This window comes from Homo sapiens, chromosome 17, assembly GCF_000001405.40.
Source record: "Homo sapiens chromosome 17, GRCh38.p14 Primary Assembly".
Taxonomy (NCBI): Eukaryota; Metazoa; Chordata; class Mammalia; order Primates; family Hominidae; genus Homo; species Homo sapiens.
The window spans coordinates 39,727,619-39,750,925 of NC_000017.11; the positions used below are offsets into that span (position 1 = coordinate 39,727,619).

A 23,307-nucleotide genomic window follows, 5' to 3' on the forward strand; every position below is an offset into this window, starting at 1 on the left:
GGGGGCAGAGGGAGTGGCAGAGACACCGGGGTTCCTTCCCCTAATGGGTCACCTTCTCTTGACCTTTCAGAATATGTGAACCAGCCAGATGTTCGGCCCCAGCCCCCTTCGCCCCGAGAGGGCCCTCTGCCTGCTGCCCGACCTGCTGGTGCCACTCTGGAAAGGCCCAAGACTCTCTCCCCAGGGAAGAATGGGGTCGTCAAAGACGTTTTTGCCTTTGGGGGTGCCGTGGAGAACCCCGAGTACTTGACACCCCAGGGAGGAGCTGCCCCTCAGCCCCACCCTCCTCCTGCCTTCAGCCCAGCCTTCGACAACCTCTATTACTGGGACCAGGACCCACCAGAGCGGGGGGCTCCACCCAGCACCTTCAAAGGGACACCTACGGCAGAGAACCCAGAGTACCTGGGTCTGGACGTGCCAGTGTGAACCAGAAGGCCAAGTCCGCAGAAGCCCTGATGTGTCCTCAGGGAGCAGGGAAGGCCTGACTTCTGCTGGCATCAAGAGGTGGGAGGGCCCTCCGACCACTTCCAGGGGAACCTGCCATGCCAGGAACCTGTCCTAAGGAACCTTCCTTCCTGCTTGAGTTCCCAGATGGCTGGAAGGGGTCCAGCCTCGTTGGAAGAGGAACAGCACTGGGGAGTCTTTGTGGATTCTGAGGCCCTGCCCAATGAGACTCTAGGGTCCAGTGGATGCCACAGCCCAGCTTGGCCCTTTCCTTCCAGATCCTGGGTACTGAAAGCCTTAGGGAAGCTGGCCTGAGAGGGGAAGCGGCCCTAAGGGAGTGTCTAAGAACAAAAGCGACCCATTCAGAGACTGTCCCTGAAACCTAGTACTGCCCCCCATGAGGAAGGAACAGCAATGGTGTCAGTATCCAGGCTTTGTACAGAGTGCTTTTCTGTTTAGTTTTTACTTTTTTTGTTTTGTTTTTTTAAAGATGAAATAAAGACCCAGGGGGAGAATGGGTGTTGTATGGGGAGGCAAGTGTGGGGGGTCCTTCTCCACACCCACTTTGTCCATTTGCAAATATATTTTGGAAAACAGCTAGGCACCGGCCTATGTCTGGGGGTGGCTCTGTGCCATCCCTTCCTGCTCACCTTACACTCAATTCCTCTTTTCCTGGAGGGAGTGGCTGGGAATCTTCAGAAAGCTTGGATGAGGAGCCAGACATCCAGTTCTCCAGCTTCAGGGTTGGGGGAGATCGGGAAGCTGGATTCAGATCTGAGAGCCCTTTGACGACCAGATCATTCTTATTTAGAACGAACTAATTCCTAAGGCCACTCACCAGAATGGGGTTATTTCCTCCTTGTGAGTGAGGAGAGTGGTGGGTAGGGTGGGGGAAAGACGAGGCAGGGTCTACTGTGGGACTCATTTTCCTTGCCTTGGCTATGCCAGAGGAGCTCACTGACCTAAGGAGTAGCTGTCCAGAAAGCCCACCCAGCCAGCACAGCCACCCTGGCGGTGCAAAGGCTGGGCTGACCGGACTTCTGTGCCCCCCACATTCCCAGACTGGACGTATAAAAACACACACTAGTTAGCATTAGTGTTTGTAGCGCCACTTTACTGCCAATAGCTGACATTGCCCTGGGTTAGGGGAGAATAAATAAAATCTGTGGCATCAGACAGGTATTACCGAGGCGAAGAGTGGACTGGGCTTTCGTGGGCACTTACCCTGGGAAGGGGGTATGAGGTGGCTGGAGAAGTGTTCATGGAGAGTGTCTCTCTCCTGCCCCCAAGGCCACGGAATCTTCTATTCCTTCTTTGTACCCAAAGGGCAAAGTGGAGGCCAGGGTCTCTTTGCTAAGGAGCTAAGTAGGGGAAAGAGGCAGGGGGAGCTCCCAGCAGGACCAAAGGGAGACCAAGGTTTGGACCCCAGAACAGAGCAGGAACCCAGAGTCCTGTGCAGTCACAGGATGACGCAGGGAGGACGGCTGTTGGTGATCTTTTCTAGGGTTTCTCCATTACTGGCTCTTCGGATGGCCTCAATGAGCTAGAGGAGTGGAATGACAGGATGATGCACTGTTGGGGTAGGGTGACCAAGAGGTCCTCCCAACGCTGTAAATACTCACATCTTTCTCATAGGGAAAGCCCCCATTCTCCAGCTTGGAGAACACCAGCTGTCCATTTATCTCTATCTCAAAGGCACCTGGTAAGAAATCAACAGATAAATGGTACACTGAGAACATAGGCAGAAGTCAGGAGTTCCTCCAAAGGGGTCCCCCGCCTTCAAGTCCCCCATCAATCCCACTGGAGACCCATTTGTAGCTCCTTAAGCAATTCCCCAACCCTGGGTCAACTCCAGGGAACCTGAGGGAGGCCTCGCCTGTGTGCCCCTCGCAACACTCAATAAAGGACTCCCTCCCCTCCAACCCTACACGATTGCAGTCTAATAGGTTTTTCCCCACAGGCCTCTGTGACACCCCCTGACCTATGGAAGGGAACTCATGTTGGCCGGACATTTTACCATGTGCCAGGCACTGCGGGCACTTTACATAAAGCAGCCAATGTCAGAACTAGAAAGCGGGAGAGCTGGGATTCAGAGCACAGACTGACCCAGCAGGTGTTCTGCGAGCCTCACCTGTGCCCCCGAGGCGCGACTCGATCTCGATGCCCGGATACTGCTCCTTCACAGCACTGGCCAGCTCCAGGTAGGTCGCCTCGAAGCCGCAGGGTTCACTGGGGAGTCAAGAGATGGGGCTGGGCTGGGGATTCGGGGGTGGGGCCTCCCGTGGACCCACCTCCGTCCGGCCCGCGGGACCAGGGTGCGGGTCCTCCAGCCGGGGCCGCTCACCAGTACTCCACCACGATGCGGACCCCACTGCCCGGCTCGACCTCCTCGGGAGGGGGCGCTACGGACGTCTGCCCCGGCTCCCCGCTCATCGCGGCCGGCTCCGCTCGGGCCCCTGCTTCCGGGTGTGACGCGAACCGCGGGCACGTGACGGGGCGGGGCCTCTGGAGCGGGGAGGGGCCGAGGGTGGCGTTCGGGCGCCCCCTGCGGGTCTCCGCCACTGCTACGTTTTGACCTCGTAGGGCAGCTCCGGAGCTCGCTCCCCGGGCAGGGGCTGGGTCCGGTCCAGACCCTCCTTCCCTGGCCCGGTCTCCCGGAGTGCCGGGCTTCCCCACTCCCCACTCCCGGTGTCCGCTGGACTTCATGGCTTCATTTACTCTAATGGACTATCTTAGACTGCAAAGCGCTTTTCAGTTTACAAAAGAAAGAGAAAGTGGTGGGGCAAGCATCCTGGGGATGGGGGTGGGTGTGGCTGATGCATGAAATAGTTGACATTTTCTCGCTAACATGCCGATGGCATTTTTTTTTTTTTTTTTTTTGAGACGGAGTTTCGCTCTTGTTGCCCAGGCTGGAGTGCAATGGCGCGATCTCGGTTCACTGCAACCTCTGCCTCCCGGGTTCAAGCGATTCTTCTGCCTCAGCTTCCCGAGTAGCTGGGACTACAGGCGCGTGCCACCGCACCCGGTTAATTTTGTATTCTTAGTAGAGACAGGGTTTCATCATGTTGGTCAGGCTGGTCTCGAACTCTTGACCTCAGGTGATCCACCAGCCTCGGCCTCCTAAAGTGCTGGAATTACAGACATGAGCCACCGCGCCTGGCCCAGTTTTTTGTTTGTTTGTTTGTTTGTTTTAGTAGAGACAGGGTTTCACCATGTTCGCCAGACTGGTCTCGAACTCCTGACCTCAAATGATCTGCCTGCCTTGGCCTCCCAAAGTGCTGGGATTACAGGCGTGAGCCACCACGCCCGGTGCTGATGGCATTTGGAACCACCCTGTAGTTACATACACAAGTGTTTCTGATCCCAAAGCTCTAAACTGCTTTTTCCAGTCTTTTGCAGCTGCTTCTTGCCTGCACTGGAAAACAGTAGATGCTCTTCAGGCTCTGTGCCCCCAACAGTTTCTGCGCATCCCTTCTCATCCAGCCTCTCACTGGGGGGCTGGCGTCATTATTCCCATTTTGCAGCTCTGGAAATGGAGTCTGCACAAGTCCTCGCTGCCTTTTCCCTGCCTACAGTACCACTATGGTATCCTAACACGCCACCCACTCTAGTGTCCCTTTAGGCTATTTATTTATTTATTTATTTATTTTGAGATGGAGTCTCACTCTGTCACCCAAGCTTGAGTGCAGTGGCGCGATCTTGGCTCACTGCAACCTCCACCTCCTGGGTTCAGGCGATTCTCCTGCCTCAGTCTCCCTAGTAGCTGAGATCATAGGTGCCAGCCACCACGCCCAGCTAACTTTTGTATTACTATTATTATTATTTTTTTGAGACAGAGTCTTGCTCTGTTGGCCAGGCTGGAGTGCAATGGTGCGATCTCGGCTTACTGCAACCTCTGCCTTCCGGCCTCAAGTGAGTCTCCTGTCTCAGCCTCCTGAGCAGCTGGGATTACAGGTGCCCACCACCAAGCCAGCTAATTTTTCTATTTTTAGTACAGATGGGGTTTCACCATGTTGGCCAGGCTGGTCTCGAACTCCTGAAGTTGTGATCTGCCCATCTTGGCCTCCCAAAGTGCTGGGATTACAGGTGTGAACCACTGCACCCGGGCTCATTTTTTTTTTTTTTAAACCAGGCAGGTCGTAGTGGCTCACACCTGTAATCCCAGCGTTTTGGGAGGCCAAGGTGGGCGGATCACTTGACGCCAGGAGTTCAAGACCAGCCTGGCCAACTCGACAAAACCCTGTCTCTACTAAAAATACAAAAATTAGCTGGGTGTGGTGGCGCACCAGCTACTCCAGAGGCTGAGGCAGGAGAATCGCTTGAACCTGGGAGGTGGAGGTTGCAGTGAGCTGAGATCTCACCACTGCACTCCAGCCTGGGTGACAGAGTGAGACTGTGTTCCAAAAAAAAAAGAAAAGAAAAGAAAAGAAAGAAAATGCAGTGATTTGTACTGTTGCCTAACCATCACTACAATCCAGTTACAGAATGTTTCCGTCAACCTGATAAGTCCTTCCCACCTGTTTCTGGTCAATCCAGCTCCCAATTCCAGTCCTGTGCAACCACTGATCTGCTTTCTGTCTCTAACTTTGCCTTTTCTGGATGTTTCATATAAACAGAATAATACACTATGTGGCCTTTTGCTTCTGGTTCTTTCATTCAATATGTTTTTTGAAATGCGTTCATCCTGTAGCGTCTAGAGTAGTTTGTTCCTTTTCATTGCTGAGTCGTATTCCACTGTGTGGTTATGCCACATTTTTTTCTTAATTCACCAGCTGATGGATATTTAGGGTTCCAGTTTTTTTTGTCTTTTTTGAATAATGCTGCTACAAATGTTTAGGTGTCTTTGTATAGGTGTGTGTTTTCATTTCTCTTGGGTAGATTCCTAAGGGTAGAACTGCTGGGTCCTGTGTTTAATTTATGATTATCTTTTTTTTTTTTGAGACAGGGTCTCGCTCTGTTGCCCACGCTGGAATGCAGCAGTGCAAACATGGCTCACTGCAGCCTCGACCTGCTAAACTCAAGCTATCCTCTTGCCTCAGCCTCCTGAATAGCTGGGACGACAGACACGCACCACCATGCCCAGCTAATTTTTTTTTGTATTTTTTGTAGAGACAAGGTTTTGCCATTTTGCCCAGGCTAGCATTTAACATTTTAAGAAATGGCCAGACTGTTTTTCAAAGTTTTCCCACCAGCAATATATGAGGATTTGTCTCTCCATATCCTCACCAATACTTGTTTTCTGTCTCTTTGATTATAACCATCCTAGTGGACATGACATGGTATGTAACTGTGGTTTTAATTCTCATTTATCTAATGACTATGTCGTGTATCTTTTCATGTAGTTATTAGCCATTCATATACATATTATTTGAAGAAACATCTATTCAAGTCTTTTGCCCATTTTTATTTGTCTCTTTATTATTGATTTGTAAAAGTTCTTTATATATTTTGGATACCAACCAAAATATATACAACCATATATACAACCATATATAGTTGTATATGATTTGCAACTATTTTCTCCCAGTCTTCGGCTAGTTTTTTTTCTTTTTTCTTTCTTTCTTTCTTTTTTTGAGACAGGGGTCTCACTGTGTCACCCAGGCTGGAGTGCAGTGGCACAATCTTGGCTCACTTCAACCTCCACTTCCTGGGTTCAAGAGATTCTTGTGCCTCAGCCTCCCAAGCAGCTGAAATTACAGGCGTGCACCACCATAGCCCAGATAATTTTTTGTGTTTTTAGTAGCAATGGCCAGGCTGTTTTCGCTATGTTGGCAAGGCTGGTCTGGAACTCTGGCCTCAAGTGATCTGGCTACCTCAGCCTCCCAAAGTGCTGGGATCACAGGCATGAGCCACTTCATCTGGCTTCATTTTTTCTTTCTTTTCTTTGAGACAGTGTCTTTCTCTGTCACCCAGACTGGAGCGCAGTAGCACAATCACAGCTCACTGCAGCCCCAACTTCTCAGGCTCAAGTGATTGTCACACCTCAGCCCCACCAAGTAGCTAGGACTATAGGCCCGCACCACCATGCCTGGATAGATTTTATATCTTTTGTAGAGATGAGGTCTTGCCAGGTTGCCTAGGCTGGTCTCAAACTCCTGGGCTCAAGCGATTCACCTGCCTCAGCCTCCCAAAATGCTGGGATTACAGGTATGAGCCACCATGCCTGACCCCTTCTTTTTTTTTTTTTTTTTTTTTTTTTTTTTCGTATGGAGTTTTGCTCTTCTTGCCCAGGCTGGAGTGCAATGGCACCATCTTGGCTCACTGCAACTTCCGCCTCCTGGGTTTAAGCGATTCTCCTGCCTCAGACTCCCGAGTAGCTGGGATTACAGGCATGCACCACCATGTCTGGCTAATTTTGTATTTTTTTTTTTTTTTTTTTTTTTTTTTTAGTAGAGATGGGGTTTCTCCATGTTGGCCAGGCTGGTCTTGAACTCCCGACCTCAGGTGACCCATCCGCCTCGGCCTCCCAAAGTGCTGGGATTACAGGTGTGAGCCACTGCGCGCGGCCTCCTGGCCTCTTATTAATGGTGGCTTTTGAAGTGCAAAAATTTTAAATTTTGACAAAGTCTAACATCAATTTTTTTCTCTTGTCAGTTGTCTTTTTGCTGTTATATTCAAGTTCTCTGCCTAACCCAAGGTCATGAAGACTATCTCCCATGGTTTCTTCTAGAAGTTTTATGGTTTTAGCTCTTACATTCAGGTATCTGATCTATTTCAAGTTTTTTTTTTCTTATGCATCCTGTGAGCAAAAGATCTAAATTCACCTTTTGGCATGTGGCTATCCAATTGATCACAGCAGCATTTATTGAATGCCTATCCTTTCCTCCATGAAATTGTCTTGGCACCTTGTAAAATCAATTGACCAGAAATGTAAGGGTTTCTACTTGGACTCTGGATTCTGTTCCATTGACCTATAAACGCATTCTTATTTATTATTATTATTATTTTCCCCCGAGACGGAGTCTTGCTCTGTCACCCTGGCTGGAGTGCAGTGGCACGATCTCAGCTCACTGCAACCCCCGCCTCCTGGGTTCAAGCAATTCTCCTGCCTCAGCCTCCTGTGTAGCTGGAATTATAGGTGCACACCACCATGCCCAGCTAATTTTTGCATTTTTAGCAGAGGCGGGGTTTCACCATGTTGGCCAGGCTGGTCTCGAACTCCTGACCTCATGATCCACCTGCCTCGGCCTCTCAAAGTGTTGGGATTACAGGTGTTAGCCACCGTACCTGGCCTTATAGTTGTTGTTGTTTTTAAATTCAGATACAACTTATACACAGTAAAATTCATCCTCTTGAGTGTACCTTTCTTTTTTTTTTCTTTTCTTGAGATGGAGTCTCGCTCTTGTCTCCCAGGCTGGAGTGCAATGGCTCGAACTCAGCACACTGAAACCTCCGTCTCGTGGGTTCAAGAGATTCTCCTGCTTCAGCCTCCTGAGTAGCTGAGATTACAGGCGTACGCCACCACGCCCGGCTAATTTTTGTATTTTTAGTAGAGACGGGGTTTTGCCATGTTGGTCAGGCTGGTCTTGAACTCCTGACCTCGTGATCCACCTGCCTCAGCCTCCCAAAGTCCTGGAATTACAGGGGTGAACCACGCACCCAGCCTTGAGTGTGCCTTTCTATGAGTCCTAAGAAACACACACATTTGTGCATCCAACCCCAAAACCAAGATACAGTATGGTCCCATCACCTCTCACAAGTCCCTGTGCCCCCTACTGTGGACCCCTCTCCCTCCTCCCCAACCCCAGACCTGGTTTTTGTTCACACAGTTCCACCCGCTCCAGAAAGCCATATAAGTTGATTCCTACAGCACTCCGCCCTCTGACTGTGGCTTTGTTTCCATCCCATCCTTCAATATCCAGGATGATCTTTCCAAAATGTAAATGTGCCCTCTCCTCTGTGCTTCTACTTAAGTCTAAATACAACTTGCAGGGTCTGGTCTTTGACCGCTACTCCTGCCCATCTGGACAAACAGGATGGATGGCTCTCAAACCTGGTTTGCAGAACAGCCACCTGAGGGCTTGTCAATACCACACCTTCCTGGGTCTTAGCCCTAGAGACTGAGATTCAGTTGCTGGAGAGGAGCCCAAGAATCTATTTTCCACACAAGGTTAGGGAGGTCTAGAGGCCACATTTGCAGAAGCACAGCTTCCTCTCTCCACACCTTCCACACCTGTCCAGGTTCACCCACGTGGCCTCTGCTTCCTCCCTTCTCCTCCAACCCCACTCTCTGTCTCCGCATGCTGCATCTCCTCCTGCCCAGAGCTCTGGCATTGATTTCCTCACTGGGGAAAGTGGCCTCCTTCCCCAATTCCCATCCACCGATTCCAACCCCCTTCCCATGTCAGCCAGCTTCTCCTCTGCTCAGCTGTCACCTCCACTGAGAAGTCTTTCCTGACTCCCTATGTGAGTCATTTTCCCAGCATAGTTGTCTCCTGTCATTTCTTATTTGTGTGATTCTTTGGTTAACATCAATCTTCCTGATTGGCTGTGTGAGGATGGGCGGGGTCTGTTTTTGTTGTTTACGCCTGTATCCCCAGCACAAAACATGGGGCTGGCATATGGTAGGTACTAAACAGATAGTTGAATAAATGAATGAGTGAATTGTCTACTCTGCCTTTGCACAAGCTGCTCCATCACCAAAGAGACCTTGCCTCCTCCCCCACTTCTTTGCTGGGCCCACTCATACCGGTTTTCCTAGGAAAACTCTGGAGAAAATTGAGGCAGGAGCCACTCATTCGTGCCCCTTCCAGGGTGGACCTCTTATCACCCTAAGGATTGTTTGTTTTCCTGTCACCCACATCAAGCTGGGTGGTGGCCGCAGCCTTTGATCTCCACCTCCTAACCCCTCTCCCAAGTACCCTGTGTTTGCCCAGCACTGAATGAGACAGCTAAAGTGATCCCTGAGAGAACTAAAGTGTTCCCTCAGGCCGGGCGTGGTGGCTTATGCCTGTAATCCTAACACTTTGGGAGGCCGAGGTGGGCAGATCACCTGAGGTCAGGAGTTCAAGACCAACTTGGTTAACATGGAGAAACCCCATCTTTACTAAAAATACAAAAATTAGCTGGGTGTGGTGGCAGGCGCCTGTAATCCCAGCTACTCCGGAGGCTGAGGTAGGAGAATTGCTTGAACCTGGGAGGCAGAGTTTGCAGTGCGCCAAGATGGCACCACTACACTCCAGCCTGGGTGACAGAGCGGGACTCTGGCTCAAAAAAAAATAAAATAAAGTGATCCCTCTAAGAGGAATCCCCAGGGGCCCAGGCCAGAGCTTTCTCCAGGTCACCATGGCTCCTCCCACTGTGCCACCCTGCCTAACCCCCTCGATTTTAAAGGAGAAGCCAAGACTCTGGACTTTGCTCAGAAGGTGGGGGGCGGGGGAGGGAGGGCTTACCCTGGGTACCTCTGAGGGGCCAGGGCGCAGCCACCACGGTAAGGGTGACTGCAGATCGAGGGGCAGGCCATGTTGCTGGACACCACCCTGGCTGGCGTCCCTCTCGGCAGGGTGCTCTTTGCCCCATGGGGTGGGATCCAGAGCTGCAGACAGGCCCCCAGGCTTGGCCAATGAACAGACCAGGTTCGGGGAGGGTGTTGGAAAAGAGTGGATGGGGTGGTTCCCCTTACCTTGCAGCCCCCAGGCCCTCCCCCCTCCCTCCCAGGTGGTCGGGACTCTTGATCTTCGCTCGTGGTACTGTCTGTTCGGCTGTCTTCCCCGCCTCTCCCCAGGCACCTGCATCCTCCCTTGGCACCTGCTGCCAGGCTAGGAAGGGCAAAAACAATCCCAGTTGGCGTAGTCAGGGAGTCTCCGCCCTCCTCCCAGGTTTCCTCCTCCCAGGCGCCTCCCCTGGACCCGCCCCCATCTGCCCAAGATAATTTTAGTTTCCTTGGGCCTGGAATCTGGACACACAGGGCTCCCCCCCGCCTCTGACTTCTCTGTCCGAAGTCGGGACACCCTCCTACCACCTGTAGAGAAGCGGGAGTGGATCTGAAATAAAATCCAGGAATCTGGGGGTTCCTAGACGGAGCCAGACTTCGGAACGGGTGTCCTGCTACTCCTGCTGGGGCTCCTCCAGGTAAGGGGACCGAGATCGGTCTCAGACGACAGCCTGCCAGGCAACCCCCAGCCGCACCAGGGCCCCAGGCTGTGCCAGTCTCCGGCTGAACTGGCCGGCGGCCCAGGTGGGAGGATTGGAGCCACCTGGCTCTCCCCCTCCCCCGCTCGGTGATGTCAGGCCAGGGGCGGGGGCTGGAGGGGGACAGGTAGTTAAGGGCCTGGCGTCTCCCTCCCTGAAGACGTGGTCCCAGCCGGGTGTCCTGACGCTCGGGGTTCAGGTAAGAACCCAAGCGGGCATTTATCCTTTGGGGGCAGGCACGGCCGGTCTGGAGGCCGGTAGGGAAAGGCTGGGTCTCCTGATGGGTTGCTTGGCCTCCCACTTTTCTCTTTTCTGTCCATTTCCCACCCTGCCCCCTCCTCCCCACCCGCCCTCTTTTCGTCCCCATCCTGGTTTCCAGCGCTCCTTGTTCCCTCCCTGTACACCTCCCTGCAGGCAGCAGCTGAGAATGGGAAGGAAGACCTGATTCTCTCCTCCGACTTGGCTTTCCCGCTGAAACTAGCCCCTCCCCGCACACCCGGGGAGAGCCGCCCTCACTCTCTGGCTCGCCCAGTTTACCCCAGTTTGGGTTTCCCCAAGTCTCTAAGACAGACGTCTCTGCGGGCTGCGGGGAGATGTGGGGAGGGCCCCCTCCACTTTGGAGGGCAGTGAAGGAGAGGGATCCTCTAAATTGTCGAGGCTTCATCTCTCCAGATTGTATGCCCTTCTCAGCAACACCGCCTCCGGCCCTCCGATGGGAAAGTGGAGGCCGGGTGAGACGGGGTCCCTCCTGGCTTCAGCATGAAATGGGCAGGAAGGCTGGAGGGGTGTATGAGGGGCTCTGCAGTGCGGTGGGGCCTGGGGAGAGTGGGGTGGGGGATAGCAGATGGTTTCTTCTGCTTGATGAGGCTAGGGAGAGACCCAGGTTCCCGGTCTGGGTCTCCCTGGCAGATTGAGGACAGAGAATGAATGCATCTGCCGGCAAGGTGGAACGCCCCCCACCCCGCCCCCCAACTAGCCGCACCGCCCCCCAGGAATGCCCTCTTTTGGTCCGCCGGTCTTGGACTCTGCTCTCCCCTCTCCTGATATCCTACTGTATGCTTGGTGGGGGGACCTCATGGAGGCGGGCAGCCTGTAATGATTAACTGCAGAGACACTCCAGCATTCTTCCCGAATTAAACTTTAAAAGAGCTGCCCCGCCTTCTCCCATTGGGTATTTTTCCTGAGTGAGAGTGGGCGGGGCCTCAGAGTCCTGGGTCCTCCCTTATACTAGGAGTCATCCAGGGGTTTCTCACCTTCTCACCTGGGCCCTGCACCCTAAAAAATTATAAGCCTCTCCCGTGGGGGCGGGGCGTGGAGTACTGGGCGGACGGGGGCTCTCCCGCCACATCCAGGCCCCTGGCCCAGGCCTCAGTCCCGCAAGCCCTTCCCCCTGCTCTGGGAAGCAGAGTTGTTTTCTGTTGGCCCTGAACACCGGGCCCCGCCACCTGCCCTTAGGGCCAGCCAGGTGGGGCGTGATTCAGGAAGTAAACAAGGAGGTTGGGAGGACGGGAACGCGGGTGGGGCTGGAACCACTGGGGGAGGAGGCAGCTGGGAAGCCACGGACGGAGTTACCTCGTTGAGGGGACAAACTGATTTTGGGGGTCGGTGTTTCCAACCGAAGCTTTACCGGGGCCTCAGTTTGAAAACTCCAGATCTCTAAGCTGCCAGGCCCACAGCCAGGACCCCTTCCTCCTCCCTGCTCACCCCATTGGTCTTGACGATTCCACCCGCCTCCAGCCTTAGAAGCTTAAGGGCACGGCTGGGGGGCTCTGAAGGCAAACCCCAGCCTTGGACTGGCCCTCTCTGATCTCTGAGGCCAGGCTCTAATGTGATTTGAATCTACTTCTAACCCCTTCCAAGCACTGCCCTCCCGAATTCTCTGCTCCTCTCCCCACCCCACTGTTGGTCTGTGATTTCGAGGCAGGCGTGGCCCCCTGCAGCCTGGAATGAAGTCACTGGGGCTGTTTGGAGACCGGGGCTGTTTGGAGGTTAGACTGGGGTGGGAGTGGGGGATTGTGTTCTGGTATTGAGGTGCTGGTGTCTCTTGCTAGCGGGTGATGGGTGTGTCGTGCCCCTCCTGGCAGGACCCTGAGCCCCCTCCCTGGCCTTTCATCCTGTCTGTCTTCTTGAGTGTTTTCCCTTTCCACTCCTGCTCCTGTGGTACCCCTCTGGCCGGGACACCCAGGAGAATGTGTCAGGAGGAACTTCATCCACACAGGGCAGGGGCTCTGAGCGATGCTTTGGGTGGGGAGGGGCACCGCCGGGATGCTGGCTTCTCTCCAAATGGGCCTCTGAATCCAGGCCGGGCATTGCCTCTCTCCTTCCCAGGCGAGGGACTCCCTGGCGAGGAGGTGGTTTGGGACTGGGGGTGAGAGCAGATCGTAGGTCCCACCTGGCCTGGAGCTAGGCCGAGGGTGGGGAGGAGGAGGTGATGTCAGGAGCCTCAGGCCCACATCCTCCTCCCCCATCCTGTTCCCAGCCCCGTGCCTCCCCCATTCCGCTCTGGCTAGCAGTGGGTTGGGGAGTTGGGGGAAGGGTGGAGGCAGGGCTGTTTTTGTTTCTCCTAAGCCAGGAAGTTGTGTGGATGAGTCAAGGTTGAATGGAGAGCCCTAGGCAGTGTTGTCCCGCCCGCCCTGACTCACCTGTCCCCCAAATCCCCTGATGCCCTCACTGAAGGGTCAGGTGCCTGCTCCCTCCTGAGGGGTCAATCCCAGGTGCCCCAGGTGGCCTCATAGTACTGGCCCAGTGTTTGGAGAACAGGCTGGGGGCTGGGATTGCAGGTTCTCCCAGGTCTCAGCCCGGCCAAAGGGGTCTGCTGGGTTCCTGCGGAGAAGGTGCCAGCCCCACCTCCACCTCTAGTGCTCGTCTTTGCCTGCTGTCCTGTCTTTACTTGTCTTGAGTGTCTGTGCAGCCCCTATAAGTGATAAGACATGGGTGAGATTGGCCTTGCCTGGGGGTACCAGGTGCCCTCAGACAAATGGGTGGATAGGACAGGTGCACAGTAATGGATGATGCGGCCCCCGCACAGTGCTGAGAGAGAGTCATTCAGTCTGAATGTGGAAGGCCAGGAAGGCTTCTCAGAGGAGGTGGCTCTAGCACTGGGGCTTCAGGAAAGAGTTGGGCAGGAGGATGGCCTGGGGAGGGTACGCAAGGTTTGGGGGCTGCTGGGGCCAGGACCCCTACCCCAGGCCCTGCTCTCCCCCTTGCACTGCAGCGGAGCCCGCTCTCCTGCCTTTCTGACTCCCATCCTTCCCCACCTCCTTCTCCCCTCTGCATCACTCATCACTTGGGCAGGCCAAACCTCGCCAAGTATGAACAGGCTCTGGCAACTGGGTCTGGCAACAAAGTGCTGGAAAAACCCGGGGCACAGCCCAGCGCAGTGAGTGCCCCACACGTGGAGGCAAAGGAGTGGGCCTTTGCCCTGACCCTGAGGGCTGAGCCTGAGAGTCTGTGGGTTGTGAAATCTGTTGTGACCACCAGGCTTGTGGTGGGTGGACCCTCAGCTCTTCCTGTGAGCAACTTTGTGCTAAAGAAAGAGCACTGGAGCCGGGCGTGGTGGCTTACGCCTGTAATCCCAGCACTTTGGGAGGCCAAGGCGGGCGGATCAGGAGTTCAAGACCAGCCTGGCCAACATGGTGAAACCCTGTCTCTACTAAAAATACAAAAATTAGACGGGCGTGGTGGTGGGCACCTGTAATCCCAGTTACTCGGGAGGTTAAGGCACGAGAATTACTTGAACCCAGGAGGTGGAGGTTGCAGTGAGTGGAGATGACGCCGCTGCAAAAAAAAAAAAAAAAAAGGAGAAAAAAAACAGAAAGAGCACTGGACTTGGAGTCTAAACACAGGTTCTACTCCCGACTCACCTGTGACTGAGGGCAAGAATGCTTTCTTCTCAGAGACTCGGTGTCCCCTTTTGTAAAATGAGGCTCATTCTGTCCTTCCCCAAGGGCTTCAGGGAAACTCCAGTTAGAGCAGTGAGGTGCTAGGTAAACTCTGAGGGGCACCCTAACCGCCGTGTGAGGTCAGGAGGTCTGAATTCTCTCATCCCCTCTCCCCAGGACAAGGGCACACAACTGGTTCCGTTAAGCCCCTCTCTTGCTCAGACGCCATGGAGCTGGATCTGTCTCCACCTCATCTTAGCAGCTCTCCGGAAGACCTTTGCCCAGCCCCTGGGACCCCTCCTGGGACTCCCCGGCCCCCTGATACCCCTCTGCCTGAGGAGGTAAAGAGGTCCCAGCCTCTCCTCATCCCAACCACCGGCAGGTACGATGGGGCGTGGGGCTTGGGGGAGGTCAGTGCTGGATAATACACAGAGGCTTGCAGGCCACTGCTCCCTTCCCCACACCTCTCTCCCTTTTTCTTCTTGCCACAGGAAACTTCGAGAGGAGGAGAGGCGTGCCACCTCCCTCCCCTCTATCCCCAACCCCTTCCCTGAGCTCTGCAGTCCTCCCTCACAGAGCCCAATTCTCGGGGGCCCCTCCAGTGCAAGGGGGCTGCTCCCCCGCGATGCCAGCCGCCCCCATGTGAGTTGTCCCTCAGAAGGGAAGGGAGGGATGCACGGGTTCTGGGTCTGTGGGAGATACACAGCCGCTTCCATGGAGGCAGGGGATCTTGGTTAGGAGTCCCTGAGGGTCTAGCAGGTGCGGAAAGGGAATGAATCACCCTTTGCCTCCCCTCAAGTCGTGTGCAATTCCTGGGGCGCAGGTAGTAAAGGTGTACAGTGAGGATGGGGCCTGCAGGTCTGTGGAGGTGGCAGCAGGTGCCACAGCTCGCCACGTGTGTGAAATGCTGGTGCAGCGAGCTCACGCCTTGAGCGACGAGACCTGGGGGCTGGTGGAGTGCCACCCCCACCTAGCACTGGGTAAGTCAGGTGCATGGAACTATCCGGGCTGGGAGATGATGCCTTGCATCTTGGGCTAGGCATGTGGCTCATCCAGGAGATCTGGTTGATCTCCAATAACCCCTGCTTTTTGCCCTTGTCCCCAGAGCGGGGTTTGGAGGACCACGAGTCCGTGGTGGAAGTGCAGGCTGCCTGGCCCGTGGGCGGAGATAGCCGCTTCGTCTTCCGGAAAAACTTCGCCAAGTACGAACTGTTCAAGAGCTCCCCAGTGAGTGCATGAGGGCTGTCTGGGCGCTGGGATGCCCTGATCCTCAACCTGGATGCTGGAGCCCTGATCCCTGACACTTGTCTACCCACAGCACTCCCTGTTCCCAGAAAAAATGGTCTCCAGCTGTCTCGATGCACACACTGGTATATCCCATGAAGACCTCATCCAGGTGGGGGGACCCCCCATTTCACTGCAGATTCACGACTCCCCAGCATTGGCCAGTGCTTCTCCACCCTTAAGTCCTGTGCCTCCCCTCTATGTTGTAGAAAGAGCCAAATCACAGTCCTGTGTGACTGGGGACAGTCACTTTCCCTGCCTGAGCATCAGTTTCTTCTATTAAATGGGGGCGAGAAATGCATGTGGAGCATTTCCTTGTAAAAACCTGAGGGTGGGCTGGGCACGGTGGCTCATGCCTATAATCCCAGCACTTTGGGAGGCTGAGGCGGGAGGATTACTTAAGCCTAGAAGTTTGAGAGTTTGAGACCAGCCTGGGCAACATAATGAGACCTCGTCTCTCCAAAAAAAAAAAAAAAAAAAAAAAAAAGGCCAGGAATGGTGGCATGAGCCTGTAGTCCCAGGTGCTTGGGAGGCTGAGGTGGGAGGATCACTTGAGCTCGGGAGGTCGAGGTTGCAGTGAGCTGTGATCGTGCCACCGCACTAGCATGAGACCCTGTCTCAAAAAGAAAAAGAAAAAGAGAAACATCCTGGTGGTAGAGGGGAAGGGAGGAGGTCAGACCTGTCACTCTCCTCTGCTCTCCTCTGGCTCAGAACTTCCTGAATGCTGGCAGCTTTCCTGAGATCCAGGGCTTTCTGCAGCTGCGGGGTTCAGGACGGAAGCTTTGGAAACGCTTTTTCTGCTTCTTGCGCCGATCTGGCCTCTATTACTCCACCAAGGGCACCTCTAAGGTAAGGTCTTGAGGGTACCAGCCCCAGCCCCTCCAGTCCCTGGTCCTTTTAGAAGTTGCCCCTTCTCTGCTGGAACCTCTGAGCCCTTCTCCCCCTGGGCCCCCCAGGCCAGCCACCTCCAGTTTACCATCTCTCCCTACATCCTTGCCTAGCTCACCTGCCCAGGGAGGTAGCAGGAGAAAAGATGATCTTAGTTTAAGTCCTGGCTCTACTTCTATTTGCTGTGTGACCCTGGGTATTCCCCTGCCCCTCTCTGGTCCTGAAATCTCCCCACCTGGCTTGTGGGGGGAGGTAATAGTGGGCGGGATCTACCTGTACCAAGTCCTGCTCACTCATGCTGCTTAGGATCCGAGGCACCTGCAGTACGTGGCAGATGTGAACGAGTCCAACGTGTACGTGGTGACGCAGGGCCGCAAGCTCTACGGGATGCCCACTGACTTCGGTTTCTGTGTCAAGGTGAAGACCTGGCCAGGCCTGGCCCCTGGCCTGGGGAAGCAGGAACTGCTCAGGCCCCTGGATCCTGCCCGGGGCTTCTGAGCCCCAATTCAGACACCTAGACTCCTCTCCCTGCACCCTGGCCTGCTGGAAACTCCTGGATTCAGCTCTGCTATGTGGAGCAGGGGCAGACATGTGGTCCTAAAGGCAGATATGGGACCAGTCAATTTCCTCTCTCTGCAGCCCAACAAGCTTCGAAATGGCCACAAGGGGCTTCGGATCTTCTGCAGTGAAGATGAGCAGAGCCGCACCTGCTGGCTGGCTGCCTTCCGCCTCTTCAAGGTGAGACCCTGGGAGTGGCATGGGGGGCTGGCCTGGCCAGAGGGATCCCCAGCTCTGCCCTCAGGAAGTCTCAGGAATGAGGAGGGCATCACAGCCTTGCTCTCTGATAACCCCCAGTCCAAGCCTGAAGTTATAGGAAGTGCCCATCGAAGGCAGAAACACAGCCCTGGTCTGGGCAAGTCCTGGTCTGAGGGGGGCGTCACAGCCACGCCCCCAGGACCTCTCGACCTCAAGCTCTCTTTCTCTCCCCACCCCCAGTACGGGGTGCAGCTGTACAAGAATTACCAGCAGGCACAGTCTCGCCATCTGCATCCATCTTGTTTGGGCTCCCCACCCTTGGTGAGTGTGCCCAAGGGGATGGGAGGGTGGGTATGCAGGCCCTGTCTTACGGGTACCTGGGCCCTGTTCTGACCTCTCTCCTCTCCTTCCATCTCCAGAGAAGTGCCTCAGATAATACCCTGGTGGCCATGGACTTCTCTGGCCATGCTGGGCGTGTCATTGAGAACCCCCGGGAGGCTCTGAGTGTGGCCCTGGAGGAGGCCCAGGCCTGGAGGGTGAGGCCTGCTGTGTGTGTGTGTGTTTGTGCTGGGGACCCACTCTCTGGGTGGGATCCCTGAAATAGGAGGGAGGAAGAGAGGGCGGGGGGAGGCCCCTGGCTGGGAAGAAGTGCTCTACCTTCCTGAGGTGCTGGGTAATGCCCCCAAGCACGCCCCGACTCTCCCGTATCTCCCACTGCTCCACAGAAGAAGACAAACCACCGCCTCAGCCTGCCCATGCCAGCCTCCGGCACGAGCCTCAGTGCAGGTGGGTGACGGCCCCGAGTCCTGGGGCGGGGGCTGCCTCAACTTCTCTTTGTATTCCCAGTGGGGAGTAGATGGTATAGGGGTCCCCTCCCCAAAGTGACCGCCCATGTCCTTCCCCACCACAGCCATCCACCGCACCCAACTCTGGTTCCACGGGCGCATTTCCCGTGAGGAGAGCCAGCGGCTTATTGGACAGCAGGGCTTGGTAGACGGGTAAGGGGCAGGGCCGGGCAACAGACCCAGGGATAAGAGAGACTGGGGTCCAGGTGGCAGCCATGGTCCTTGGGTAGTAATGCTGCCCCATCTCCTGTCTTCTGGCAGCCTGTTCCTGGTCCGGGAGAGTCAGCGGAACCCCCAGGGCTTTGTCCTCTCTTTGTGCCACCTGCAGAAAGTGAAGCATTATCTCATCCTGCCGGTGAGCTTCCCTGCGTCCCCGGAGTCCTGCAATGAGACACAGGACTCCCAGCAACCTGTCCTCCTCACCAGGCCCCTCCAGAGGCTCCCTGGCCCCCAGTGCGTCTCCCTTTTCCCTGCACAAGAAGTGGGAGGCTGAGTGCGGTGGCTCACACCTGTAATCCCAGCACTTAGGACGGCCAAGGTGGGAGAATGGCTTGAGCCCAGGAGTTCGAGACCAGCCTGGGCAACACAGGGAGACCCCATCTCTACAAATAATTTAAAAATGAGCCAGGCATGGTGGTGCACACCTGTAGTCCAGCTACTCAGGAGGCTGAGGTGGGAGCATTGCTTGAGCCCAGAGGGTCAAGGCTGCAGTGAGCCATGGTGGCACCACCACACTCCAGCCTGGATGACACAGTGAGAAAACTGTCTCAAAAAAAAAAAAAGAAAGAAAAAGAAAAAGAAAAAAGAAAAGAATAAAAGGAAATGGTGGGGCCCTGGCCCAGGAGGGAGCTTCCCAAGCCTCGGGCCCCTCCCTGAACTTCCACCCCCTTTACTGTACCCCAGAGCGAGGAGGAGGGCCGCCTGTACTTCAGCATGGATGATGGCCAGACCCGCTTCACTGACCTGCTGCAGCTCGTGGAGTTCCACCAGCTGAACCGCGGCATCCTGCCGTGCTTGCTGCGCCATTGCTGCACGCGGGTGGCCCTCTGACCAGGCCGTGGACTGGCTCATGCCTCAGCCCGCCTTCAGGCTGCCCGCCGCCCCTCCACCCATCCAGTGGACTCTGGGGCGCGGCCACAGGGGACGGGATGAGGAGCGGGAGGGTTCCGCCACTCCAGTTTTCTCCTCTGCTTCTTTGCCTCCCTCAGATAGAAAACAGCCCCCACTCCAGTCCACTCCTGACCCCTCTCCTCAAGGGAAGGCCTTGGGTGGCCCCCTCTCCTTCTCCTAGCTCTGGAGGTGCTGCTCTAGGGCAGGGAATTATGGGAGAAGTGGGGGCAGCCCAGGCGGTTTCACGCCCCACACTTTGTACAGACCGAGAGGCCAGTTGATCTGCTCTGTTTTATACTAGTGACAATAAAGATTATTTTTTGATACACCTATGAGTTCTGTCTGGCAAGGCCTGGCTGGCTGAATCAAGAAGGGAACCAGAGCTGGACGTGGTGGCTCATGCCTGTAATCCCAGCACTTTGGGAGGCCAAGGTAGGAGAATTGCTTGAGTCCAGGAGTTTGAGACCAGCCTGGGCAACATGGCAAGACCCTGTCCCTACAAAAAATAAAAAAATGAGCCGGGCATGGTGGTGTGCACCTGTAGTCCCAGCTTCTCAGGAGGCTGAGGTGGGAGGATCCCTTGTTCCTTGAGCCTGGGATGTCAAGGTTGCAGTGAACTGAGATTGTGCCGCTGCACTCAGCCTGAGTGACAGAGTGAGACCCTGTCTGGAAAAAAAAAGAGGGGAGACCTGGAGAGGTGGGCACCTGTGGAGGCCTTGGTGGAAGTGTCAAATGGATCGAGGCCATGTCTCAGCCTGCCTGGATGTTCCTCAAGGGCAGGAGTGGTTATCTGAGAGTCTCCAGTGCCCACCATGCAGCTTGACACATAGTAGGCGCCCAGTCATTGCTAATTAAGTAAGTGAATAGACAAGAGACCATCATCCCAGAGAGATTTTCTGACAGTCTAAGTCTAGAGAGGTAATTAACAGGGCCTGGGAGTTGGAGATGAGTCCGACAGCATGCTTGTCCTCCGCTAGTCCTGGACTAGCTGACGGATAGTTGGCCCCAGCATGCACACAGTTATGCATCCAGCCCCACCACCAAGACACAGAATGGCCTCATCACCCCCAACAAGTCCCTGTGCCCCCTACTATCAGCCATGCTCCCTCCTACCCAAACTGAAACCTCCTTTCTGTCCTAGTTCTGCCCCTTCCAGAAAGCCATATAAATGGAGCCTGCTAGCATTCAGCCCTCTGCATCTGGCTTCCATCTCCAACACATCCTTCAGCACCCAGAGTGATCTTTTCTCAAATATAAATTCACCACTCCCGGCAGGGCACTGTGGCTCACACCTGTAATCCCAGCACTTTGGGAGGCCGAGGCGGGCGGATCACGAGGTCAGGAGTTTGAGACCAGCCTGGCCAACATGGCAAAACCCCATCTCTACTAAAAATACAAAAATTAGCTGGGCATGGTGGCGGGCACCTGTAATCCCAGCTACTAGGGAGGCTGAGGCAGGAGAATAGCTTGAACCGGGGAGGCAGAGGTTGCAGTGAGCCAAGATCATGCCATTGCACTCCAGCCTGGGCAACAAGAGCAAGACTCAGTCTTAAAAAAAAAGACAGATGTCTGGCCTCTGCCCACTGCTCATGCCAGTCTATGTTTTTGTCTTAGAGGTTTTTTTGTTTTGTTTTTTGAGATGGAGTCTCACTCTGTTGCGCAAGCTGGAATGCAGTGGCACGATCTCAGCTCACTACAACCTCCTTCTCCTGGGTTCAAGCGATTCTCTTGCCTCATCCTCCCAAGTAACTGGGATTACAGGCGCTTGCCACCACGCCTGGCTAATTTTTTGTATTTGTGGTAGAGACGGGGTTTCACCATGTTGGCCAGCCTGGCCTTGAACTCCTGACCTCAAGTGATCCACTCACCTTGGCCTCCCAAAGTGCTGGGATTACACACCCAAGCCACTGCGCCTGGCCTTGTCTAAGAGTTTTTTAGTTTGAGCTCTTACCTGATGGGAGCTCTTTAATAAATATGTCAGATCGACTGCATCTGAACTTGCTGCTTAACTCAGGAGACAGACCCTCCTGCAGACCTGTGAACCCCAACTAGTCATTGTTTTTGTCAAAACACCAAACCTGAATCTGATTCCTTGGATTCAACAACTAGTTTACGGGAAATACAAGGGAAACAATGACAAAAATCCAGATTGGGAAATTCTACAGAACAGATAACCCAGTTTCTTCTTCAACAGCAACAAAATTACCAGAAAAGATGGGCAATCTCTAGATTTCAAGAAATTTAGACATATATCAACCAAATGATGTGTTGACCTTTGATTCAAATGCAAACTAACTGTAAAAAGCATTTATGAGCAATTGGGGGAAATTTGAATTCTGATCAGATATTCGATGATATTAAGGGATTATGGCTAACTTTCTAAGGTGTAATAATGGTATTGCAGTTACGGTTTTTTCTAAATCTTTATCTTTAAGAAATTCATTATGAAGTATTTAAAGGTGAAATCACATGATGTCTCAGCTTTGTTTTTATTCCTTTTCTTTTTTTTTTTTCCAACTTTTATTTTAGATTCAGGGAGTACATGTGCAGGTTTATTACCTGGGTATATTGAGTAATGCTGAAGCTTTGTTTTTAAAATAACCCAGAGGTGGCCAGGCACAGTGGGTCATGCCTGTAATCCCAGTACTTTGGGAGCTGAGGTGGGAGGAGTTTGAGACCAGCCTGGGCAACATAGTGAGGCCCTCTCTACAAAAATAAAAAATAAAAAATTAGCCAGGTGTGGTGACATGCATCTGTGGTCCCAGCTACCTGGGAGGCTGGGGTGAAAGGATCGTTTGAGCCCAGGAAGTCAAGGCTGGTGTGAGCCATGATTGCATCTCTGCACTCCAGCCTGGGCCACAGAACATGACCTTGTCTCAAAAAATAAAAAGAAAAAAATGAAATCCAGAGGTTAAAGGAGAGGGTGTGGGCATAGTCATGGTGTGGCCATGAGTTGACACTGGCTGTTGATATTGGTTGAAGCTTGGTGACAGGTACTGGCTATGTGGGGATTTGTTAAATTATCCTCTCCACCTTTGTATATGCTTGGATATTCTATTATATATTGATATATTTTAATGGAGAGCCCCTTCTCAAATCTTTGGGACTGACTGGGCAGGAGGTGGTGAGACGCTGTTTTGTAGGTGAGGAAACTGACGGCCCAGTGGGCAGCCTGGCCCCAGATCACAGTGGGAGAGCCAAGATTCCAACCCAGGTCTGAGGACCAGGTCTGGGCATGTTCTGCTTCCCCTGTCTGGCTGACGTCCAGGTGGCATTCCTCAGCCACAGTGACAGCAATAGTGGCCTACTGGGGTCCTCCCTTAGAGAGCCCCTCCCTTCCCTGCAGCCTTGGTCTCTGGCCTGGAGGGTTGTCCTGAGGTGACCTTGAGACTGTGCAGCCTCTGCAATCAGCCCCTGGGCTGGGTCTGGCAGCCCTGGCAGCCACTCCCGACCAAGGCACCCCCATCCTTGGCTAACTCCAGGCTGGGAAGCTGGGACCAGGTCCAGCAGACAGAGGTGGGCAGAGAGGTCTCATGCACACCCCAGCCTGGGACCTCCTGGGAATCTGCTGGAAGAACTTACTGCAGCCCAAGGGCAGGAAGGGTGGCAGATTTTGCTTCTTTTTAGCAGGACTGGAGGCAGGACCCAGTGCAACCTGCTGCCTGCCACCTGCCACGGTTCCCAGAGCCATCCCCACCACAGGCTGTGGCTCGAGCACCGAACAGGGCAGTGTCAGCTGTGTGGCTGGCCATGGGTGCCCAGGGCCACCTCCGAGGTGTGGGTGCCAGAGTTCCAGGCTGGAGTGAGAGTAAAGGGGTCAAGATGAGTCACCTCTTCAGCATGTCCAGGGGTTCAGACTGTAAAAAAAGAGGACCCAGTGTCCCTTCACAGCCTGAGGCACTGGGCAGAGACAAAGCCTCTCTGTCAATCAGCTAATTGGAGACTGTGAGACAGATGTCCTTCCCACT

At 54.2% G+C, this 23,307-nt stretch overlaps 3 protein-coding genes across 39 annotated transcripts in view, besides 3 other annotated features; 2 read left to right on the top strand and 1 right to left on the bottom strand.

Moving 5' to 3' along the window:
- ERBB2 (erb-b2 receptor tyrosine kinase 2) overlaps positions 1–1,040 on the top strand; it is a 40,565-nt gene extending 39,525 nt beyond the window's left edge. For all 31 annotated transcript variants that reach the window (NR_110535.2, NM_001382782.1, XM_047435590.1 and 28 more), the window contains one exon: positions 71–1,040. Coding sequence is in view for 30 of the 31 variants with exons in the window: in NM_001382782.1 (NP_001369711.1) it covers positions 71–426 (356 nt within the window). In the remaining variant the exon portion in view is untranslated. The remainder of the gene's footprint in view (positions 1–70) is intronic.
- Positions 892–2,914, bottom strand: MIEN1 (migration and invasion enhancer 1). Of its 2 annotated transcripts, NM_032339.5 has the most exons (4): positions 2,789–2,914; positions 2,576–2,673; positions 2,067–2,143; positions 892–1,987 (listed from the first exon to the last, which is right to left on the bottom strand). In NM_032339.5, exons 1-4 carry the CDS (start codon positions 2,875–2,877, stop codon positions 1,904–1,906), a joined length of 348 nt encoding a protein of 115 aa, NP_115715.3. In that variant the 5' UTR covers positions 2,878–2,914; the 3' UTR covers positions 892–1,903. The 2 variants fall into 2 exon arrangements, with proteins under 2 accessions (NP_115715.3, NP_001317135.1); NM_001330206.2 differs by having other exon boundaries at positions 892–2,143.
- Positions 2,596–3,155: a silencer, noted in NCBI's record as "silent region_8463". NCBI's record gives its function as "represses an Ori minimal core promoter by ATAC-STARR-seq in GM12878 lymphoblastoid cells {active_cell/tissue: GM12878}" and the evidence as "EXISTENCE:reporter gene assay evidence [ECO:0000049][PMID:35858748]".
- Positions 10,320–19,667, top strand: GRB7 (growth factor receptor bound protein 7). Of its 6 annotated transcripts, none has more exons than NM_005310.5 (15): positions 10,320–10,515; positions 14,634–14,838; positions 14,948–15,098; positions 15,280–15,436; positions 15,562–15,683; positions 15,775–15,852; positions 16,452–16,589; positions 16,935–17,045; positions 17,268–17,366; positions 17,625–17,705; positions 17,804–17,920; positions 18,110–18,170; positions 18,295–18,382; positions 18,491–18,584; positions 19,133–19,667. In NM_005310.5, exons 2-15 carry the CDS (start codon positions 14,684–14,686, stop codon positions 19,277–19,279), a joined length of 1,599 nt encoding a protein of 532 aa, NP_005301.2. In that variant the 5' UTR covers positions 10,320–10,515; positions 14,634–14,683; the 3' UTR covers positions 19,280–19,667. The 6 variants fall into 6 exon arrangements, with proteins under 6 accessions (NP_005301.2, NP_001317136.1, XP_047291813.1 ...); XM_047435857.1 differs by lacking the exon at positions 10,320–10,515 and adding an exon at positions 10,734–10,774 and having other exon boundaries at positions 17,484–17,705; NM_001030002.3 differs by lacking the exon at positions 10,320–10,515 and adding an exon at positions 10,734–10,774.
- Positions 12,580–13,177: an enhancer, noted in NCBI's record as "H3K27ac-H3K4me1 hESC enhancer chr17:37896451-37897048 (GRCh37/hg19 assembly coordinates)". NCBI's record gives its function as "activates a minimal SCP1, AML or CMV promoter by ChIP-STARR-seq in naive H9 embryonic stem cells {active_cell/tissue: H9 hESC(naive)}" and the evidence as "EXISTENCE:reporter gene assay evidence [ECO:0000049][PMID:30033119]".
- Positions 13,776–14,373: an enhancer, noted in NCBI's record as "H3K27ac-H3K4me1 hESC enhancer chr17:37897647-37898244 (GRCh37/hg19 assembly coordinates)". NCBI's record gives its function as "activates a minimal SCP1, AML or CMV promoter by ChIP-STARR-seq in primed H9 embryonic stem cells {active_cell/tissue: H9 hESC(primed)}" and the evidence as "EXISTENCE:reporter gene assay evidence [ECO:0000049][PMID:30033119]".

Bases quoted from the DNA above. Each gene is read 5' to 3' on its own strand.
- MIEN1 (NM_001330206.2), bottom strand. From the start codon at position 2,877: ATGAGCGGGGAGCCGGGGCAGACGTCCGTAGCGCCCCCTCCCGAGGAG. The intron at 2,674-2,788 runs GTGAGCGGCCCC...TTGACTCCCCAG, and splicing joins CGCATCGTGGTGGAGTACTG to TGAACCCTGCGGCTTCGAGG. The intron at 2,144-2,575 runs GTGAGGCTCGCA...ATTTCTTACCAG, and splicing joins GTCGCGCCTCGGGGGCACAG to GTGCCTTTGAGATAGAGATA.
- GRB7 (XM_047435857.1), top strand. From the start codon at position 14,684: ATGGAGCTGGATCTGTCTCCACCTCATCTTAGCAGCTCTCCGGAAGAC. The intron at 15,437-15,561 runs GTAAGTCAGGTG...CCTTGTCCCCAG, and splicing joins CCACCCCCACCTAGCACTGG to AGCGGGGTTTGGAGGACCAC. The intron at 17,367-17,483 runs GTGAGACCCTGG...GATAACCCCCAG, and splicing joins CTGCCTTCCGCCTCTTCAAG to TCCAAGCCTGAAGTTATAGG.